The sequence below is a fragment of the Homo sapiens genome, chromosome 18 (assembly GCF_000001405.40).
Source record: "Homo sapiens chromosome 18, GRCh38.p14 Primary Assembly".
Lineage (NCBI taxonomy): Eukaryota > Metazoa > Chordata > Mammalia > Primates > Hominidae > Homo > Homo sapiens.
Window position 1 is genome coordinate 26,545,562 of NC_000018.10, and position 17,971 is coordinate 26,563,532.

At 47.3% G+C, this 17,971-nt stretch overlaps 1 protein-coding gene and 1 long non-coding RNA gene across 7 annotated transcripts in view, besides 15 other annotated features; one reads left to right on the plus strand and one right to left on the minus strand.

The window, feature by feature from the left end:
* The window catches only part of KCTD1 (potassium channel tetramerization domain containing 1), a 202,564-nt gene that overhangs the window by 90,652 nt on the left and 93,941 nt on the right, over positions 1-17,971 (minus strand). Inside the window, exon 1 of one of the 6 annotated variants that reach the window (NM_001258221.2) lies at positions 4,168-4,258. The exons of 2 other annotated variants lie outside the window; for them this stretch is intronic. Coding sequence is in view for 1 of the 4 variants with exons in the window: in NM_001142730.3 (NP_001136202.1) it covers positions 1,167-2,975 (1,809 nt within the window). In the remaining 3 variants the exon portion in view is untranslated. 6 annotated transcript variants of the gene reach the window in all.
* Positions 1,299-10,291, plus strand: LOC124904273 (uncharacterized). Its single transcript, XR_007066321.1, has 2 exons — positions 1,299-1,433; positions 9,772-10,291. It is a non-coding gene; the product is annotated as an uncharacterized LOC124904273 (long non-coding RNA).
* Positions 1,311-2,295: an enhancer, noted in NCBI's record as "H3K27ac-H3K4me1 hESC enhancer chr18:24126836-24127820 (GRCh37/hg19 assembly coordinates)". NCBI's record gives its function as "activates a minimal SCP1, AML or CMV promoter by ChIP-STARR-seq in naive H9 embryonic stem cells {active_cell/tissue: H9 hESC(naive)}" and the evidence as "EXISTENCE:reporter gene assay evidence [ECO:0000049][PMID:30033119]".
* Positions 2,134-2,183: an enhancer, noted in NCBI's record as "active region_13189". NCBI's record gives its function as "activates an Ori minimal core promoter by ATAC-STARR-seq in GM12878 lymphoblastoid cells {active_cell/tissue: GM12878}" and the evidence as "EXISTENCE:reporter gene assay evidence [ECO:0000049][PMID:35858748]".
* Positions 2,204-2,293: an enhancer, noted in NCBI's record as "active region_13190". NCBI's record gives its function as "activates an Ori minimal core promoter by ATAC-STARR-seq in GM12878 lymphoblastoid cells {active_cell/tissue: GM12878}" and the evidence as "EXISTENCE:reporter gene assay evidence [ECO:0000049][PMID:35858748]".
* Positions 2,474-2,583: a silencer, noted in NCBI's record as "silent region_9372". NCBI's record gives its function as "represses an Ori minimal core promoter by ATAC-STARR-seq in GM12878 lymphoblastoid cells {active_cell/tissue: GM12878}" and the evidence as "EXISTENCE:reporter gene assay evidence [ECO:0000049][PMID:35858748]".
* Positions 2,604-2,713: a silencer, noted in NCBI's record as "silent region_9373". NCBI's record gives its function as "represses an Ori minimal core promoter by ATAC-STARR-seq in GM12878 lymphoblastoid cells {active_cell/tissue: GM12878}" and the evidence as "EXISTENCE:reporter gene assay evidence [ECO:0000049][PMID:35858748]".
* Positions 2,824-2,883: a silencer, noted in NCBI's record as "silent region_9374". NCBI's record gives its function as "represses an Ori minimal core promoter by ATAC-STARR-seq in GM12878 lymphoblastoid cells {active_cell/tissue: GM12878}" and the evidence as "EXISTENCE:reporter gene assay evidence [ECO:0000049][PMID:35858748]".
* Positions 2,924-3,218: an enhancer, noted in NCBI's record as "tiled region #2175; HepG2 Activating DNase matched - State 4:PromP, and K562 Activating non-DNase unmatched - State 10:DNaseD". NCBI's record gives its function as "activates a minimal TATA promoter and a strong SV40 promoter by Sharpr-MPRA in HepG2 and K562 cells {active_cell/tissue: HepG2 | K562}" and the evidence as "EXISTENCE:reporter gene assay evidence [ECO:0000049][PMID:27701403]".
* Positions 3,284-3,925: an enhancer, noted in NCBI's record as "H3K27ac hESC enhancer chr18:24128809-24129450 (GRCh37/hg19 assembly coordinates)". NCBI's record gives its function as "activates a minimal SCP1, AML or CMV promoter by ChIP-STARR-seq in primed H9 embryonic stem cells {active_cell/tissue: H9 hESC(primed)}" and the evidence as "EXISTENCE:reporter gene assay evidence [ECO:0000049][PMID:30033119]".
* Positions 3,474-3,703: a silencer, noted in NCBI's record as "silent region_9375". NCBI's record gives its function as "represses an Ori minimal core promoter by ATAC-STARR-seq in GM12878 lymphoblastoid cells {active_cell/tissue: GM12878}" and the evidence as "EXISTENCE:reporter gene assay evidence [ECO:0000049][PMID:35858748]".
* Positions 3,794-3,923: a silencer, noted in NCBI's record as "silent region_9376". NCBI's record gives its function as "represses an Ori minimal core promoter by ATAC-STARR-seq in GM12878 lymphoblastoid cells {active_cell/tissue: GM12878}" and the evidence as "EXISTENCE:reporter gene assay evidence [ECO:0000049][PMID:35858748]".
* Positions 3,926-4,567: an enhancer, noted in NCBI's record as "H3K27ac-H3K4me1 hESC enhancer chr18:24129451-24130092 (GRCh37/hg19 assembly coordinates)". NCBI's record gives its function as "activates a minimal SCP1, AML or CMV promoter by ChIP-STARR-seq in primed H9 embryonic stem cells {active_cell/tissue: H9 hESC(primed)}" and the evidence as "EXISTENCE:reporter gene assay evidence [ECO:0000049][PMID:30033119]".
* Positions 3,934-4,033: a silencer, noted in NCBI's record as "silent region_9377". NCBI's record gives its function as "represses an Ori minimal core promoter by ATAC-STARR-seq in GM12878 lymphoblastoid cells {active_cell/tissue: GM12878}" and the evidence as "EXISTENCE:reporter gene assay evidence [ECO:0000049][PMID:35858748]".
* Positions 4,344-4,423: a silencer, noted in NCBI's record as "silent region_9378". NCBI's record gives its function as "represses an Ori minimal core promoter by ATAC-STARR-seq in GM12878 lymphoblastoid cells {active_cell/tissue: GM12878}" and the evidence as "EXISTENCE:reporter gene assay evidence [ECO:0000049][PMID:35858748]".
* Positions 4,884-5,178: a silencer, noted in NCBI's record as "tiled region #221; K562 Repressive non-DNase unmatched - State 20:ReprD". NCBI's record gives its function as "represses a minimal TATA promoter and a strong SV40 promoter by Sharpr-MPRA in K562 cells {active_cell/tissue: K562}" and the evidence as "EXISTENCE:reporter gene assay evidence [ECO:0000049][PMID:27701403]".
* Positions 5,210-5,851: an enhancer, noted in NCBI's record as "H3K27ac-H3K4me1 hESC enhancer chr18:24130735-24131376 (GRCh37/hg19 assembly coordinates)". NCBI's record gives its function as "activates a minimal SCP1, AML or CMV promoter by ChIP-STARR-seq in naive H9 embryonic stem cells {active_cell/tissue: H9 hESC(naive)}" and the evidence as "EXISTENCE:reporter gene assay evidence [ECO:0000049][PMID:30033119]".

Sequence of the window (17,971 nt, forward strand, 5' to 3'; positions counted from 1 at the left end):
TATGTTCCTGGAGGGCCTGCACTATACCTTCAGACCTGCAAAATTCCTACTTCTGCTTGATGGCAGGCAGGTCAAAGTTGTAAAACCTCCAGTGGGTACTCCTGCCTGCAGAATAGAACACAGTGTCCAAAGACCCCTGGTTTCTGACTCCTAGACTAGAGAGTGTCCAAAACATGAATATAACTTTAATAATACTCACGAAAATACTACCTTGGGGAAAATAAGGAAAGAAGAATCTAACACTAGAGGCCCCAGTCTCGACCCAGAATTTGGCACTGCTTAGACTTAAATCATGTTAGGGTGGAAATAGTTTCTTCCTCTTTGATGAGGATAGTGAAGCCAAGGAGAAGTGAAGTGATTTGTCCATGCTGACTCAGCTGCTGGGATAGCACTCTTACTCTAATTATCTACTTCGTAGGTATTATCTGCCCCCTAGATAGTGAGCTCCGTGGGGCTAGGGGGAGACAGCAATGTTTCAGTGCCCACAGTGCTGGGCACCACAGGCCCATACTCCAATTTGTAGCCTGACTGGAATTGCAGATACCACGTTCCCACTTTAGTTTATGGAAATTGCACCCCACACTGCCAGTTTACATTCAACTACATGTTACAGTATAAACTGGCACTCAACTGCCTGGCTCTCCACTCTCCACCCCTTTTCTTTAAAAAAAAAAAAAAAAGCTACAGGAAGTGGGATTGGCACGTTTTCTTTTCAATAATTTATAACTGTTTTTCTACCTTCTAAGGTCATGGCGAATACGTAATAGAGTCTTTTAAGGGTTACTTGATTCAAATATGTCTTAAGTAACTGCTTCCTTTACATTTACAGTGTTCTCGCAGTCTTTGCCTTATAAAACTCATGCATTCAATGAAGAGCGGCTGCAAGAGTGAGCTAATCCTTTTGTTCGGCGAACTTTGAAGTTTTTCGCCTTACTGCACAGCAGTGATTTGTTAGGTAGCATGCCCTCTCTCACATCTTTTAAGGTTAGGTGTAAAGTTTCCCAAAAAGCACCAAGAGAGTTAACTTCTAAGGGTGAAACGAAATCCGATTCAGTACATTACCTACTTTTTAAAACTTCCCCCCTACCCAGAGCTGCATTAGCACAAAAGTTAGTCCCGAAGTGGTACCAAAGAAACATTTCATGCATAGAGTTTGGTTTGGTTACCTGGGTGGGGGAAACAATAGCAGGTGAAACTATTGTGGGAGAATTGGTGCTTCTGTGCCCATTGGCTTCTGGAAGAAGAGGCAGGGGGTCGTGTTTCACGGAAACCACCACCACCGCATCCACAGGCTCCGAGGGGCGGATACAAAGTCTTTTGGGGGAAGTGGGGCCGCAGATTTCCCCCGACCCGAACACAGACTCGTACAGGGCGCGCTTGGGCGCAGCCTCGGATTTCACGTCGGGCCCGACCTGGCTGTCTTTGGGGAGGATGTAAGTGTTCCCCAGCGAGGGCGGCTGGGGGCGGTGGTGGTGGGAGGGATGGGTGGGGGGGTGGTGGGAGTGGTGCCGTGCCGCCCCGTTCAGAGCCTCGGCGTAGCAGCCCTGCGGGGCGGGCGAGCCCAGCTTGGTGCCAATGCCCGCGATGCTGTTGAGCGTGGCGATGGAGACGGCGCCGATGCAGTGGTTGGTGTAGGTCTTGGAGAGCTTGGCCGCCTTGGAGAGCATCTGCATCCGAGTGCCTAGCAAGTTCTTGCCGATGGCTTTGTTCTCGTACCAGGTCACATCGCCCTCGCTGCAGTGGTCCCGGGGCCGCTGGAAGAACGCCTTGCAGAGAGGGTTGCGTTTCGACAGGTACTTGACGAAGCTGGCGTAGGGGCAGAACTCGGTGCCCGTCTCATACATGCGGGGCAAGTTCTCCTCGTCGCTGCTCTCGGCGCGCTTCTTGCTCCACGACGACGAGCGCGACTTGTGGTAGGGCCCGAGGGACTTGAAGTAGACGAACTTGCGACCGTCCTCGTCCATGGCCAGCCCAAAAGAGTCCTCCTCCAACTCACGCTGGTTCTCGCGGCCGCGGGTACAGAAGTACATGCACGTCTCGAACCAGACCTTGTTGAGCAGCCCGAAGGGCGTGTTGGTGCTGAAGACGCTGGAGGTGTACAGCTTGCGCAGGTCGGCGCGCGTGATGGCTTGCTTCTGCACCACCGGCCCGGCGCCCTGCTCCTCGAGCTTGCGGATGACCGCGGCCAGCGTCAGGTTGGCGCTGCGCAGCTCGGGGTCCTTGGTGAGGTCGAGCGTGCGGCAGTACGGGGGCTCATTGAGGTAGCGGTTGAGGGAGCTGCGGATGCTGATGAGCGACGACTTGCTGTAGAGCTGGCCGCTTTTGGAGCGGGCCTCGGCATAGAAGGAGCGCAGCACGCGGCACAGCGCCCCCTTGTCCATGGTCTCGAAGTCCGGGCTCTGCGCCTTCTCGCTCAGGTACTCCCGGAAGATGCGCACGGCGTAGCGGGTGGCCAGCCGGGTGTTCTCGCTCAGCCGGGCCCGCTCGGGGCGCTGCAGCACGTCGGGGTCCAGCTCGGAGCCGTCCCCGGGCGGCCCACCGCGGGCCCGGGGCGCCAGCAGTCGCGGCGGCGCCTCGGGCTCCAGCGCGGCGCTCTGGTCCATATTGATCATATGGACCGGCTCGGGCTCCAGCTCCTCCCCGGCCGAGTCCTCGGGCTCCAGGGGCTCGTCCCAGTCCAGCCCCATCTCCTCCTCTTCCTCCTCCTCCTCGTCCTCCTCCAGCCCCCCACCTCCGTCCTCCTCCTCCTCCTCGTCCCCCGTTATCTGCACCTCCTGGATCTCGTCCTCCTCCTCCTCTTCCTCCTCCTCCTCGCCCGCGCTGCAGTAGTGCGGACGGCTGTGGCGGCGGCCGCGGCCCCCCGCGCCGCGCTCGCCCTCGCCCCGCTCCCCATTGTTCTCGGCGGCGGCGGCGGCAGCGCTGGCGCTGCCGCCCGCGCTGGTGTTACAGTCCCCGCTGCCAGGCATTCTCGCCATATTGCCGTCTCTCTGCCAGTCCTCGGGCAGGGCGCATGCGCTATATTGGACCGCAGCGCTGAGAGCTTTTGTGTTTAATGACCTTCAGCTACCGGGAGGCAAAGCCGGGCTCTTAAAGGAGCCGCGCTCCAATTGTCATTCCCGAGCGCAGCTCCGGAGGGGCAGCGGCGCGCAGGGGATGGAGGGGAGGGGGGAGGGGGGGACAAGTTAGACCGGAGAGATAGGGTAAAGGACGGAGGCTGACCAGACCTTCTTCCTCCCCCACCCGGCTCCCACTTCTAAGAAAACTTTGAAGGAAAAAAAAAAGGAAAGGGAGGGAGAGCTGTCGGTGGGGGCGAAACACTCCCAACTTACCCTCTGGCGGAGAATTGCGCGGGCCCGGGCGGGAGAGAGGGAGGGCCGGCGAGAGGGCGGGACGGTCTCGTTTCTCTAAGTAATGCCCGAGGAGCAGTGCCCCTTCCACTGCCCCCTCATTGCCCCCCGGAGCCGGGGGGTCGGGGCGGCGGCTGCGCCGGGCGGGCCGCGGGTGCTGCCGCGGGAAACCCGTGTCTGGGGCCGCCCGGAGCGGAGCGGAGCAGGCAGGTTAATGAGCAGGGTGGAGGAGGCACGGCGAGGCCCCGCACCCTCTCGGCGCCCGCGGCCAGGGCGCAGCGGGCGAGGCTTGGGAGCGGGATGGGGCTGGCGGCGGCGGCGGCTCCCCCACCTACTTGCTGGCGGCGAGGCGCGGGGGCCTGGGGCCAGCCGCGCGGCTCCCAACTCCCTTTCCGACTCTTGCAAAGGAGCGAAACACGCCCCACGTCAGCCACATCCCTTTCGACTTTTCCAACAGCCACATTTAAGCTGTCATTAAAGACCTGGGGCGCTCCCCGTAGGTCTGGGGCAAGTCCGCGCCGGTCCAGCCAGCCCCGGGAAGGAGCGAGGCAGAGAAGACTGGGAGGGGCCGGTGGGAGGGGAGACGAGGGAAGAGGCGCTTGGGACCCCAGGGGCCACAGGGACCCTTCCCCACCCGCCCAGGGCGCCGCCCTCCCTGCCCCTGAGCAAAGTGACACAACTCCCTCGGGCGAGGCGCTCCACCAAGCTGGAGCTGAAGTCTCCCTAAGGCCCATCGGGCAGGCGGAAAAAGCGAACTTGTGTCTCGGCCGACCCTGCCGCAGCCACAATTCGGCAATTCGGATCCGGAGCGCACTCTCACTCAAAGTTTGCCAACCGCCATTCGTTCGCCCTCCGGGCTGCGCTGCCTCAGGCGCGCGGGGGCGGGCACCTCGGAAACTGGAAAAGCAGCCAAAGAGCTCGCCGGGTCTCGCTTTCCCATAGGAGACACTGCCCCACTTCCAGCCAAACGCCCGCCCCCGGCGCGCCCAGGCTCCGGGCGCGTCCTTGCGTCGCCGCCTCCCGCTCTCCCGGCCCAGGGGCAGCTTCCCAGAGCCGCCGGGGACCTCGGCTGTTCTCTTAGGAGGCACAGCCCAGGCCACTCTCGGAGCTCGTGCTGCATCCTAACTTTCACCTTCTCCCGCAGCCCGTGTGTACCCTGGCGCGCGGGCCAGCTGCGAGTCCCTGGGGTGAGGGGACACGAGGGAGTCAGGTCCCCAGCAGTGCGCCCCGGTGCCAGGCCGTCCTGCTGGGAGGCAGCCTCGCCTGCTCCTCGGGTGCGTCCTCGAATTTACCTCCAAGTCCGAATTCTCGGCAGTTAGGCTGTGAGAGTTATGTCAACTGCCTGTTTCCCCCTTCCCTGGCCCTCCTGTCTTGCTCTCAAGGGAAGCATTTTACGCATCAATTGAAACCCATCCATCAATTTGCATTTTTTTTTTTTAAGAAAGAATGAAAGACCAGGTCTCAGGGCAGTGTGGGCTTCTGAGTGGGAGTTGACGATGTCTTTTTCTGCAGCGAACGCTGCTGGTCCTCCGCGTGCCTGCCCGGCCCTGGACGCCACCCGAGCTTCGGGGAAACCGCGCCAGGTGTGAAACAAGTTAGAGCAAGTCCCTGCCTCGCGGGCCGCCTCCGGCTCCTTAGGGAAACACAAGACACACAGACACACACACACACACACACACACACACACACACACACACCACGCTCTCATCCGCCCGGCTCTCCGCGGAGAACCGTCCGGGAATCGTCCCCGAGGTGCGGCGCGGGAGGTGGCCGGCTTTGTTCACAATGCACTGCCCGCCGCACCCGCCCTGGACACGTGCAGAAAGGCGTGCTCGTTTCTCCGAGGCTGCGGTGAGCAGCTAAGTTAGTTGCACACTGGGACCCCCACATACGAGCTGGCACACACTAGTCACACACGGCTAATTCCAGAGGGCTGGCCCTTTGTCCTGGGACGCTCCCAGGTTTTCGGGCCGCGGTGCGGAGAACTCAGGTGGGTGCCCGGCAAGTTACCTACCAGGGGCTGTTCCCCCGCGACCCTCGCCATAAGCGCAGGGACCCGGGGGCCGCGCTGGCTCCGGGCTGCGCTCCTGGCTTGGCAGGGGACCAGGCCCACGCTGCAGCCTGGGAGCGGAGCCGCCCCCCAGGTCTCCCCACCTCTGCGGGCGGCGGGGTCCACCCCCCTCCCACCAGCTCCCCTCCCTACTGGGCGAGCTGCTTTGAATTGCTCGCAGTTTGCCGGAGGCGGTGTGCTGGGTTGGACGCTCCGGGAAACAAAGCAACCCAAAACAGCTCCCAGTTGACGTCAACTTATTTCCAGAAAAGAAAATAGTTTTGTGCTCCCAGGACAAAATATCCCCCAGGGCAGGTCTCTACTGGCAAAAGTCAGGGGAAGGAGGTGGGGTGTAGCAGAACCGAAAAACCCCAAGCGCAAATAACTTTTTAACGGACTTGGAAAAGCAGCAGTTTTGGGTGCTGCTTGGACAGTTTGCAAACAACGGGCAGGACCCGCGCTTAAATTCGATATGAAAAACGCACCTTGGAAAGTATGCCTTGGCCTGATTATCGGGCAACTGTGGATCTGCTTCGTTGCACCAGCTCCGGAAAGGCTACCAAAATGATCTGCCCGTAGGATACTTCATTAAATACTGGAAAAGAAGACGTCTTTGGGCTACTATCTATAGGAGTCACGGGAAGAACACCCAGAAAAACAGATATATACCCTGCTTCCCCTCGACCAAAAGAAAAAAAAAAGTTGCTTAATTTTTAAAACCCAATAACACAAAATTACAGTGGAGTTCATAAAGTAGTTCAATTCCAAGTTTAATAAATGATCCCTTAAAAACATCCTGTGGTTCCATACACTCAATTCCAAAATGAAAGAATCAAAAAAGCTTTCTTCTTATTATTTCTGTAGAGGCAATATTGGTTGTCGTTCTGCCTATCAGGCAGCATCCAATTCCTCTACTTGACCTCTCCATATCATGAAGTCCGTTCAGACTACCACCTTGACAATCGAAGCTGCCGGTCACCCCTTTGAAAGGATGCTTTTTATTTCTTGTGCAGGATACATGACTTCTTTATAATCCCAGTACTATAGGGAACATTTATTGCAATTATTTAACTGTCAGAACTCTCTAAACTATGGTAAGATGTTTACAACTTTTAACAAGATTCTCCACCTTTTGCTGGTGGGGGTGGGGGGTCTCTTTGTATATTTGTGCTTCTCCACTTCTCAGAATACTTGAAAATAGTGACATGGTTATTTCGGCATGAAAAACTCCAAATGTTTCCCCCTCGATTCATAACCCAACTACTTCCATTTCAGGCTCACATTTTATGAAAGGTTATACTATACAGAAACATATTCAGCTCTTCCTCCTTTTTGCTTCCAGTTTTCTGAGTATCATCTGTTAATATACTGGATATAGTTGGTTTTTATCTGCCTGTTTCCTCTCTACTAAAGCAACACACACCCTTGTAGTTTCAGTCTGGTGCCTGGGGACATGGTGAGCACTTGTCATTTATATTGAATGAAGAGAATCTGTGTTTGGTTAAATCTTACATTTAGCAGGGAAGTTTTTGTGAAAAATTAAAAATAACATGAATCTGAAGCTCTGTATTAAAAATCAGGACAAATAGTAACTACAAGGCAACATTATTGTTTGCAAGTTAAAATGAATTTAATGGCTGCTTTGGATGAATATTTCCTTATCATTAATTCCCTCTCTAGTGGAACATGCTTTAGAAACTTATTGCAGAAGTAGAGTGAGGGACCCTTTTCTTGCAGTAGAGTTAATGTTGCCCCTTCTGAAGGCAGATCTGGGGAATGGAAGTGTCTCTATTAAGAGAGGTGGGCTGGGGAGGATTTAAATTGTTAAATTTCAGAAATTTTGTGGGCTCTTGAGAGCAGAGGCCAGAAAAAGCATTTAGTTCATCATTTTAAAGACACAAATTAAAAGAGACGCCATACTGTCTTGATGTAATTACTGAAAGATTCATAAAGGGCTTTCAAGGCTAAATATGAATTCAAATTGAAACTATTTTGGTATATCTTGGTTTTAGAGGTTTCTTTTTCTTTCTTTTTTTTTTTTTTTTCTTTTGAGACAGGGTCTTACTCTTTCACCCAGGCTGGAGAGCAGTGGCATGATTATGGCTCACTGCAGCCTCAACTTCCTGGGCTCAAGTGATCCTCCCATCTCATCTTCCCAAGTAGCTGGGACTACAGGCCTGCTCCACCAAGCCTTCCTAATTTTTGTATTTTTTGTAGAGATAAGTTTCCCCATGTTGCCTATGCTGGTCTTGAGCTCCTGGTCTCAAGTGAGCCACCACTCCTGTCTCAGAGTTTAGCTATTAATTCTGTTGAATTCAACTGAGAATCATCTTGAGTAATGTTTTTTGAACTCAGATGAAAATTGAACCCATGTCATCTAAGTTGACAAAGTGTAAGAAAAGAAAAATAACTCCACAGGAGCAGAAACTTTGTCTTATTTATTTCTGTATTTCCAGTTCATTTCCAATTCAGTTTCTTGGTATATTTTAGCAGAGTGACTGGCACATAGTAGATACCCAATAAATATACGCACATTTATGTGTGGGGAGAAAGCTAACTTCAACAAAAGGCTGTATAGCAGAGTGGTGAAAAACTCTCTCTGAAGCCAGCCTACCTGGGTGTGAATCCTAGTTTGCCTTACTAGCCACCCTTTTCTATGGCTCAGTTCTCTCATTTTATTACCTGGGTGATAATGATAACAGTCCCTACCCCTTGGGATTGTTTTGAGAATTAAATAAGTTGATATGCACAAAACACTTAACACATTGTCTGGAACATTCATACACATTTGACCATTACTTCTTATTTATTAAGGCTCTATTGTTTCCCAAGCTTGATAGCAAACAAGAAAACTAAGGCCAGAGAGGGTAAAAAAAAAAAAAAAAAAGGTGAAGACATTTGCCCAAGGTCTCCCAGACCTGACCAGGGCAGGCAAGTCTGGTTCCATAGGCCATGCTTGAACCACTTGACCATATTCAGCCTCTAGGAACCAAAGAATGAAGAGAGAAAGAGAGACAGAGAGAAAGAAAAGAAAAGATAAAAAGAAAAAAGAAAAGAAGATGAAAGAAAAGAAAGGAAGGAAAGAATGAAAGAAATAGGAAGGAAAGAAAGAATCTTCAATAATTCAGAAAGAAAGAAAAAGAAGGAAGGAGGGAAAGAAAGAAAAGAGAAAGAAAGAATAATCAAGGGAACAATTCAGAAGGAAAGAAAAAGAAAGAAGGAAGGAAAAAAGAAAGAAAAGAGAATCTTCAAGGGAACAATTCAGAAAGAAAGAAAAGACGAAAGACAGAGAGAAAGAAAAGAGAAGAGAAGAAAGAAAGAAACTTCAAGGGAAAAATTCCCTACCATTAAAATACCCCTGTGTATAATAGGATTTGGGAAACTTGGAAAGGCAGAATAGTACTTTGCCAAGGTCTTGGACTGTGACACACGTATAAATGGACTGAGAAACAGTGTCACCTTTGTCACTTGGCCACCTAAACACTGGTACATGTTTTCTTGGCTATTGGAAGTAGGGACCCATCTGTGTCTTAGAAGAAATGGCAGTGAAGAATTCATAGACAAAAGGAACGCCCACAAATTCAACCAGACTAGAAAGAGGCACTTTCTATTGAAATCCTGGGCTATTGTAAATCTCCTGGGGCAAAGAGGGTATTCCTATTTTTTTCTTCAATGCTTTGTCAAAAAACAGGCAGAGTAAACTTAATGCAGTAATTGACAGGAATAGAATATTTAGTTCCTAATTGCTACCTGGTAACTACAATTCTAGGTCTTTCCACCTAATAATCACCTACTTGTTTCCTAGGCTATTTGTAAAACAAATAATGTACAAGAGAAATGTAGTTTTCCATAAGTAAATTGGGTTTTTATCGAGCCTAAGAGTGTACCATCTCTCATTGTTATAATATTCTGATCATGAAACTTCACTTGGTTAATAAAGAAGTCAAATGTAAAGGTTGTCAAAGTTAAATGAAACCTAAAATTCAGAATGATAGTCATTTCTTTCTCTATCTTCTAGTTGTATATATTGGTAAAAGGTATGTGGGATTAAAGTGGACATTAGTCCTGCTATTAAATAAAATTTTATTTCAGTGTCATTGGAATACTAATTATGGTGGAAAAGGAGATAAAGGTATGTGATAATATGTCATGTAACAAATATGTATTTTTTAAATAATGGAAGAACTACTTACAATGGTCTCACAATCTAAAATATTCCTGAAACGATTTGCTGTTATTTCAAATAAAGTGGTCTACTAAGTTAGTAAAAGCAAAACAAATACGAACTTAAACACTTTCTACCCAAATGTTGGTACGAAAATGTTATCCTTATCTTCTTTTACTATCAATATAAATTAAAATATCCTTTTACAGGAAAATCGCTTGAACCTGGGAGGCGAAGGTTGCAATGAGCCGAGATTGCGCCACTGCACTCCAGCCTGGGCAACAAGAGTGAAACTCCGTCTCAAAAATGAAAATAAAATAAATAAAAATGAAACAGCCTTTTAAGAATGCAATTATTAGGCAACGTCTTCAAAAGCCATGAAAATGTTCATATGCTTTGATGCACAAATTGCTTCTAGAAGTTCATCTTAGGAAATATCCTGCTTTACTTGTAGTTTGGTAAAGTTTGGTTTATTGCATCCAGGCCACTTGGACAAATGAATTTTGTGGTATATGTCACAAACTATGCTGTAGAACTGCATTTTATACTGTCTTAGAGACCTCTCTTTGTTCACAGAAGTTTAGAGAATAAGTATTTGTGGAATGGAGAAGAAAGAAGTTCAATTAGGGTAAAATCACATCTTATCAATGTTCTATAGCAATGTCAGTTACCATTTAATGAGTATCGATAATGATAGTGAAATAAACGATATGTACTTAAAGGGCAAAACAAGATAAATTTTAAAGCTCGTATTTCAATATCTTCATGACATTGAGAAAGTTTAAGGACCAGATTTTGAAGCTCTAGATATCAGAAACTGGTATCTGGGTGTATTGGGGCAATTCACAGGATGTGTGGAGGAGTGGGTATGTACCTGCCCCGTGGCTGTGTTTCTAAATGAACTAAAAAAGAAAAAAAAATCCCCTTTTAAATACCCAGAAGCACTAACCCACATTTTGAACTAATTGACTTACTTTTTCTTAGGAAAGCTTAATTTAACTGATAGGGGCACATGGGTTTATCTGAATATTTAAAGAAGCCCTGGGATGGGTTTGTTCTATTTCTTTAATTTGATGCTGGAGATCCAGGCTTTGCACCTGATGGAAGGAGACTGCCTTGGAGAGGGGCAGAGAAGCAGGAAACATTGTGACCTGGCCCCTCTCTTCTGTGACCTAAGTTTGCAGAGCCAGGGCATCATTGCTCCCAGGGGAAGCCTCACCATTCTTCATGTTTAGTCTTCCTACAGCCTGTCCCTGGATTAGGATACCCCAGGGGTCACATGGTGTCATTACTCCCAGTAAAAACAATCTCCCCTGACATGGATTGCATCTGTTGTTTTACAATCTTTTCTCTCTTTATAGCTCATTCCCTTAAACTAAAAAGCACAAAACAAAAATGTGGTTTATCATTCTTTTCTGATTATAAAAGCAGTGTGTGTTCATTGGCAAAGATTTGGGAAGTACAGAAATCTGGAAACATACATGCATCATAGTTCTTTCTTGCTAACGTTTAGTGAATGCTTGCTGTGGGCCTAGGTTTTTACATTAACACTCTCGATTTCTTCTTATGAGTATATGTGAGGGTTGTTCCTATTCCTATTTCACATGTGTAGAAACCCAGAGAGCTTCAATAACTTGCCCAACCTCACAGAGTTAGTGAGGCCAGACTCTAGGGCACACATACTTTCTGAACAACTCACCAGGCCAGGACCTTTCAGTTCTATTTCCACTGCCTAGAGAAAACCACCCAAATACATTTGGGTGTTATTTCTGTGAATTCAATCACATGCCATTTACCTTTTAAGTACTACATACAATATTTGAAAATCTGTAATTCAAACTACGTAATCAGTGGATTTTTGGCAAACTCCGCCAAGCACCTGCTAAGAGACAGGAAGGAAAGAAGGGTCTCTCCAGGAACTCCCTGACTCCAGGGAGGGGCAAATTTTCAATAAGCCCAAAATGGTCAATAGTGTTTCTTCTGTTAATAGCATTCCTCCTGTCTTTCTCATGGTTATCTTAGTGCAATCTGCCGTAGAAAACACACAAACTTATTCTCTGTCCAACTCTGGGAAGTTAGTTGAACTGTCAGAGTTTGAGGATGAATTCCTCAAGCTTTTTTTGCTATTCATATGGTATTACATACAGAATACAGCTTTTAAGTGGATGGTCACTGAAATGCCCAGGAAAGTGTTTGCTGTGGCTACTGTTCCCAGTGCTGTGATACTTTGGATATTGTAAGTGCTTTTTAGACCTCAGTACCATGCTTTAGTGGTCAACATGCTTTCTAAATTCACTATTAACTTTGCTTTCCTAGAATTGTTAGTTTTTAGATTTAGAGCCTGAGATATAATAACTTTTAGAGTGCATCAGAATTAGCTGAATTACCTGGAGAACTTGCTTAAAATATGCATATTCACGGGTGCCAACTTCAGAGATTCTGATTTAGCAGCTCTTGAGTGTGGCCCAGGGATGTATATTTTTAACACACAGCTCAAACAATTCTAATACTAATATGACCACACTTCGAGAAACACTGCCTCAAAGCTCATACATTAAGCAATAAAATAATTTCCTCTCTAGCAATCATTCTGGGGCGGTGAATTCACTTGAAAATTGAATGCAAGTTGTGAAACCTCTTCAGAAGATGCACACACACACATACACACACCAATTTTGCCTACCATTTCAGCAGAGATTGGAGTGAAGCCTGCATTCTTGAAGCTCTGCAGCTACCTGGTCTCCAATACCACTTTAATACATATCCTCCCCTGGTCAAAACATCATCTTGGCTCCTTTCTTACTTTAGTTTCAAGTCCAAACTCCCCATAGTCTTGCCACAGTCTAATTTCCTGACATTCTCTGTTTCATCTCCCTGATATGAGTCCAGCTCTCTGTTGGGGACAACTCCAGAGAGTTCTGGAGAGCTCAGACATCGGGAGAACATTTGGCTGGGAGGCCCCAGGACAGTGATCATGGAACTTGCGTGTGTTTCCAAATCACCCGGAAGGCTTGTTGAAGCAGGGTGCCTACATTTCTCAAAAGAAGACATACAAATGGCAAACAGGCACATGAAAATGTGCTCAACATCACTGATCATCAAGAGAAATATAAATCAAAACTACAATGAGATATCATCTCACCCCAGTTAAAATGGCTTACACCCAAAAGACAGGCAATAACAAATGCTGGCGAGGATGTGGAGAAGAGGGAATGCTTGTATGCTGTTGGTGGGAATGTAAATTAGTACAACCACTATGGAGAATAGTTTGGAGGTTCCTCAAAAAACTAAAAATAGAGCTTCCATACAATCCAGCAATCCCACTGCTGGATATATACCCAAAAGATAGGAAATCAGTATATAGAAGAAATATCTGTACTCCCATGTTTGTTGCAGCACTGTTGACAATAGCTAAGATTTGGAAGCAACCTAAGTGTCCATCAACAGATGAATAGATAAAGAAAATGTGGCTGGTATACACAATGGAGTACTATTCAGCCATAAAAAAGAATGAGATCGGCCAGGTGCAGTGGCTCAAGCCTGTAATCCCAGCACTTTGGGAGGCTGAGGCTGGCGGATCACGAGGTCAAGAGATCGAGACCATCCTGGCCAACATGGTGAAACCCCGTCTCTACTAAAAATACAAAAAATTAGCTGGGCATGGTGGCACGCACCTGTAGTCCCAGCTACTCAGGAGGCTGAGGCAGGAGGATCGTTTGAATCTGGGAGGTGGAGGTTGCAGTGAGCCGAGATTGCACCACTGCACTCCAGCCTGGGTGACAGAGCAAGACTCCGTCTCAAAAAGAAGCAAAAAAAGAAAAAAAAAAGAGAAAAGAAAAGAATGAGATCCTGTCATTTGCACCAACCTTGATGGAACTGGGGGTCATTATGTTAAGTGAAAGAAGCCAAGCACAGAGAGATAAATATCCCATGTTCTCACTGGAGATAGAGAGTAGAGGATGGTTACCAGAGACTGGGAAGGGTAGTGGGGTGGTTGGGGGAGTGGTGGGAGGATTAATAGGTACAAAAAAATTAGAAAGAATGAATAAGATCTGCTATTTGGTGGCACAACAGGGGGACTATAGTCAACAATAATTTAACTGTATATTTTAAAATAACTAAAAGAGTATAATTGGATTGTTTGTAACACAAAGGATAAATGCTTGAGGGGATGGATACCCCATTCTCCATGATGTGGTTATTATGCATTGCATGCCTTAACAAAATATCTCATGTACCCCCAAAATACACACACCTACTATGTACCCACAAAAAAGAAAACAAGAAAAGAGAAGAAACAGAGTGCTGGGTTCACCCTCAGAGTGTCTGATTCAGCCAGTCTGGGGTGGAGCTGAGCATGTGCACACGCTCAGGTGATTATGCTGCTGCTGGTTCCTGGACCCCATTGTGAGAACCACGGGCCTAGAAGAGGCAGATACACATCCCCAGAGGGAAGAGTCAGCATAGTAAAGGAGGATTGGTGGGGCTAAGGATCAAGGGTGTGGAGCCTGGTGAGCCTCTCTGGGTCAATTCAGGAGGACTCGGGGGTTCAGAATCTTTTTTATGGCTCCCATGGTAGGAGGGGCTGTTAAAAGGCCTGAAGCAGAGTAGACTCAACCCTAAAATATCAACTTCCTTTCCAATGGGGAAATTTCCCCTCTCCCTTCCACTGATCTAAATTGTCTTGATTCTTTAAGGCCCAGCTCCAAATCCCATGTCTCTAGGAGGGTCGAAAGCAGCGACCTTCTGCTGCAGGACGCAATGGCCAGGCCCTTTTGCCAGTGCCCTTCAGTGGAGCACTCTCCCTTTGGTTGTAAGTTACAAGTTCTCGGATTTGCATTTGGCTTTTCTTCCTTCTACTCTCGTTCCCTGGGGTTCCTTCTCTTTGGGAGGCTTTACATTACATGTGATTCTCAACATTGGCTATATCTTAGAATCACCAGGGGAGCTTTTAAAAATTTAAACACTGCAGAATAATTTAAGACAAATGTTAGCCGTTACCACCTTCCCCCCACCAGAAAAAAAAAAAACAAAACAGATAAGGAAAATGTGGCAATTTTTTTAAAGTATTTAATATAGGTTACATGGGTGTTCATTCTCTCTACTTTTGTGTATGACAAACATTCTCACAACAAAAAATATGTATCAATGCCAGATCCCACCCCAGATTTGTTAAAATAAAAGCTCCTCCAGCCACGTGTGAGCCCCCCAAGAGCCCCTTGTACACTCTGGTTTTCTGTTATTAAATTCTTTTTAATCCTTCTTCAGGCCTCTCCTAGACTGCAGTGGTTCCTGCGATTGGCTGCATGTTAATATCACCTGGAGAACTTGCAAAAAATACTGATACCCAGATCCTTTTCCAAAAGAACCAGATCGATAGGTCTGGGAAGTGGCCTGGGCATGGGGACTTTTCAAAGTCCTGCAGGTGATTCTAATGTGCAACTAAGATTGGGACCCACTGCCCTTAGACTGGCACCCATTCACACATGTCTATTCAGGTCTGGCAGGGGGTGGGGAAGGGTGTGTTCTGGGGTGTGTTTAGGTTGTCTGTGAACCTGCAGAAATTGTATGCAAAATGTTCTGTATATGTACATCTGTGTATTTTTCTAGAATTAAAATCCATAGCTTTCAACATCTTAAAGGAGTCTGATGCAAAATGGTTTAAGAAACAACCACGTGGGTGTAGAGCAATAAGCATGTGCATCCTCTATCATTGCTAGAAGGGTAAATGGTACAGTCTTTTTAGAGGACAGTGGGAAAATGCACATCCCTTTCAACGCAGTAAATCATTTCTAGAAATGGGCTGCACACAAAGATATATGTACAAGGGTGCTCTTGAAGCATTGTTTATAATAAAGAATCATTGGATACAATCTAACTTCAGAGGCAGATGGTGAATAAATAAATTATATCTCATCTATTCAACAGAACACTATCTATAGATATAAAGAATAATGTAGGTTTGTAAGTGCTGAGTGCAGTGGTCTCCAAGACATTTTATTAAGCAAGTAAAAAAATTAATGAAAAGTATAAGCCCATTTGCTGAAAAAAAAAAACTCTGACCTAAAATGATACATACATATTTTACAAATGTAACTGCAGTGGAGTAAAAAGAAAACACATAAAATCATTTACAGTGGTGACTTTGGGAGAAGAGAGTAGCATTGAGGAACTTTAACTTCTTATTCTCCATGCTTTGGTGTTGTTTGAATTTTGCAACATGAGTATGTGTCCCTTTATTGCTTATTTAATAGGAATTGGGTCCGTCCATGTGCTGTCATCTCTGAAATCTGTCTCCATGGCCTTCATTGCTCTGTTGAGTGGCCCATGTCTCCAGGTGCCTATTGTAGATATATGTTCTGGGTCTCTCTGCTTGCATGTCAAGCAGATCCTCCAAACCCAATAAGCCTAAAACCAACACAATGGTCTTCTTACCACGCCCACCTTCTGTTCTAGGTGTTTCTATTACAGTGCCTGACATACCTCAGACCTTTCTAAGGATGCTGACTTGCTCACAGCCACTGATGAAGGGACAGATTTGTCAAGCCAAGTGGTCTGTCACATGACCAGCAACTATAAGGGATGTGCCCAAGGATGGGTCCCTGGGCAGCTAATCCCTGGGCTAACTAGAAGGCTGGATTGAAACTCCTGAGCCAAACAGTCTCTCTTTCTCTAGGAATCAGGGTCAGAGTAGTCAGTAGTTAGAAGAAAGGGGGCAGGGCCATGGAATCAGCCCAGTCCCGTGCTGGCGTGAGCACCTGCTGAGGGCCTGGGGCTGCTCTGTATCCAGACCCACCGTCTAGTCTGGCCTCCAAGGAGTCTCACTCTCCTAGAGTGCTGATGTTGGGTTTGAATGAGGTTCCACTTCCCTTTTAGTCTCACTACATCCCTATAGTTAATCAGCCCTGTCTTAAATTTATCTTGCTTACAACCAAGAAATCCTAACTATGCCTTCGCCCTCCGCCCAGGTGCACCTCCCAAATCTCTGACTCAGGGAAAGGCACCACAATTCACCCTGTATCCATAACTGAAACCTGGACAATATCCCATCCTCCTTCTCACTCTTTCTCAGGCTCCACTTCCACTGAAGCACCAAGCCCTGCCAATTGTGTCTCAAGATTTGTTTGTTTGTTTTTGAGATAGGGCTACCCAGGCTGGCCTCCAGTGGTGCCATCTCAGCTCACTGCAGCCTTGACCTCCCAGGCTCAAGTGACTTTCCTACCTCAGTCTCCCAAGCAGCTGGAATTACGGGCACACATCACCATGCTCGGCTAATTTTTATTTTTTGTGTGTGAAGCCCGGTGGGGGGTGGGGGGGTGGGGGCGGGGGGTTCTCCCTATGTTGCCTGGGCTGGTCTTGAACTCCTGGGCTTAAGTGATATTCCCACCTCAGCCTCCCAAGGTGTTGGGATTACAGGCATGCGCCACTGCACCCGGCCTCAAGATTTGTTTTGAAATCCATCTATTATGTCTTCATCCAAAGGCTGATAATAGTCTTTTCTTTTGTATTAATCGGCTTGGGGTACTATTAACAAAATACTATAGACTGGGTGGCTTAAACAACAGAAATTAATTTTCTCACAGTTCTGGAGGCTGGAAGTCCAAGATTAAGGTGTCAGCAGGGTTGGTTTCTGTTGAGGCCTCTTTTCCTGGTTGTAGATGACCTCTTCTCTGTGTGAGAGCCTGGAGAGAGAGGGCTCTCTGGCATCTCTCTCTTCTTATGAACACATCAGTTCTACCAGATTAGGGCCCACCCTTATGCCCTTGTTTAACCTTAATTACCTCTTTAACAACCCTATCTCCAAATAGAGTCACACTGCAGGGTTAGCGCTTCAGCATATGAATTTGGGAGGAACACAGTTCCGTCCGCAACACCATCCAAATCTGCTCCTCCTGCTTTATTTCCCATCTCTGCAATGCACCCGAGCTAGGAACTCTGTAGTCCCCTTCCCTGCTTCCTCTCCTTTATGTCAAATCCATTCCATTCAGCCCATGCTCTCCAGTTCCAATGGCATCACACTAATTCAGGCCACTTCTGCTGTTCAGTGATGCAGCAAACAAAGTAGAAGGTGAAACTGGAGGCAGCACCACCCACAGGAGAGTGGGCAGCCTGCAAACGTGTCCAGGCTGAGTTTAGTCTCTGATCCCTGGTCCTTTGTATCCTTTAACTTAGACTATTGGTATAAGTTTGTCTTCCCTGAAAACCAACAAACCAAACTATAACGTACTCCCTGCCTACTCCTTTACAGGGGTCCACCATTCTCCAAAACCAGCCTCACCCTCCAGCTACCAGGAAGTAATTGCTCTTCCTTGAAAACACTTGTCTCTCATCCTACCTTGACTCTTATGCCCTTGGCCATACTCTTCGTCTCCTGGCTCAACAACTCAACTCCCAGAGATCTTTTTGGAA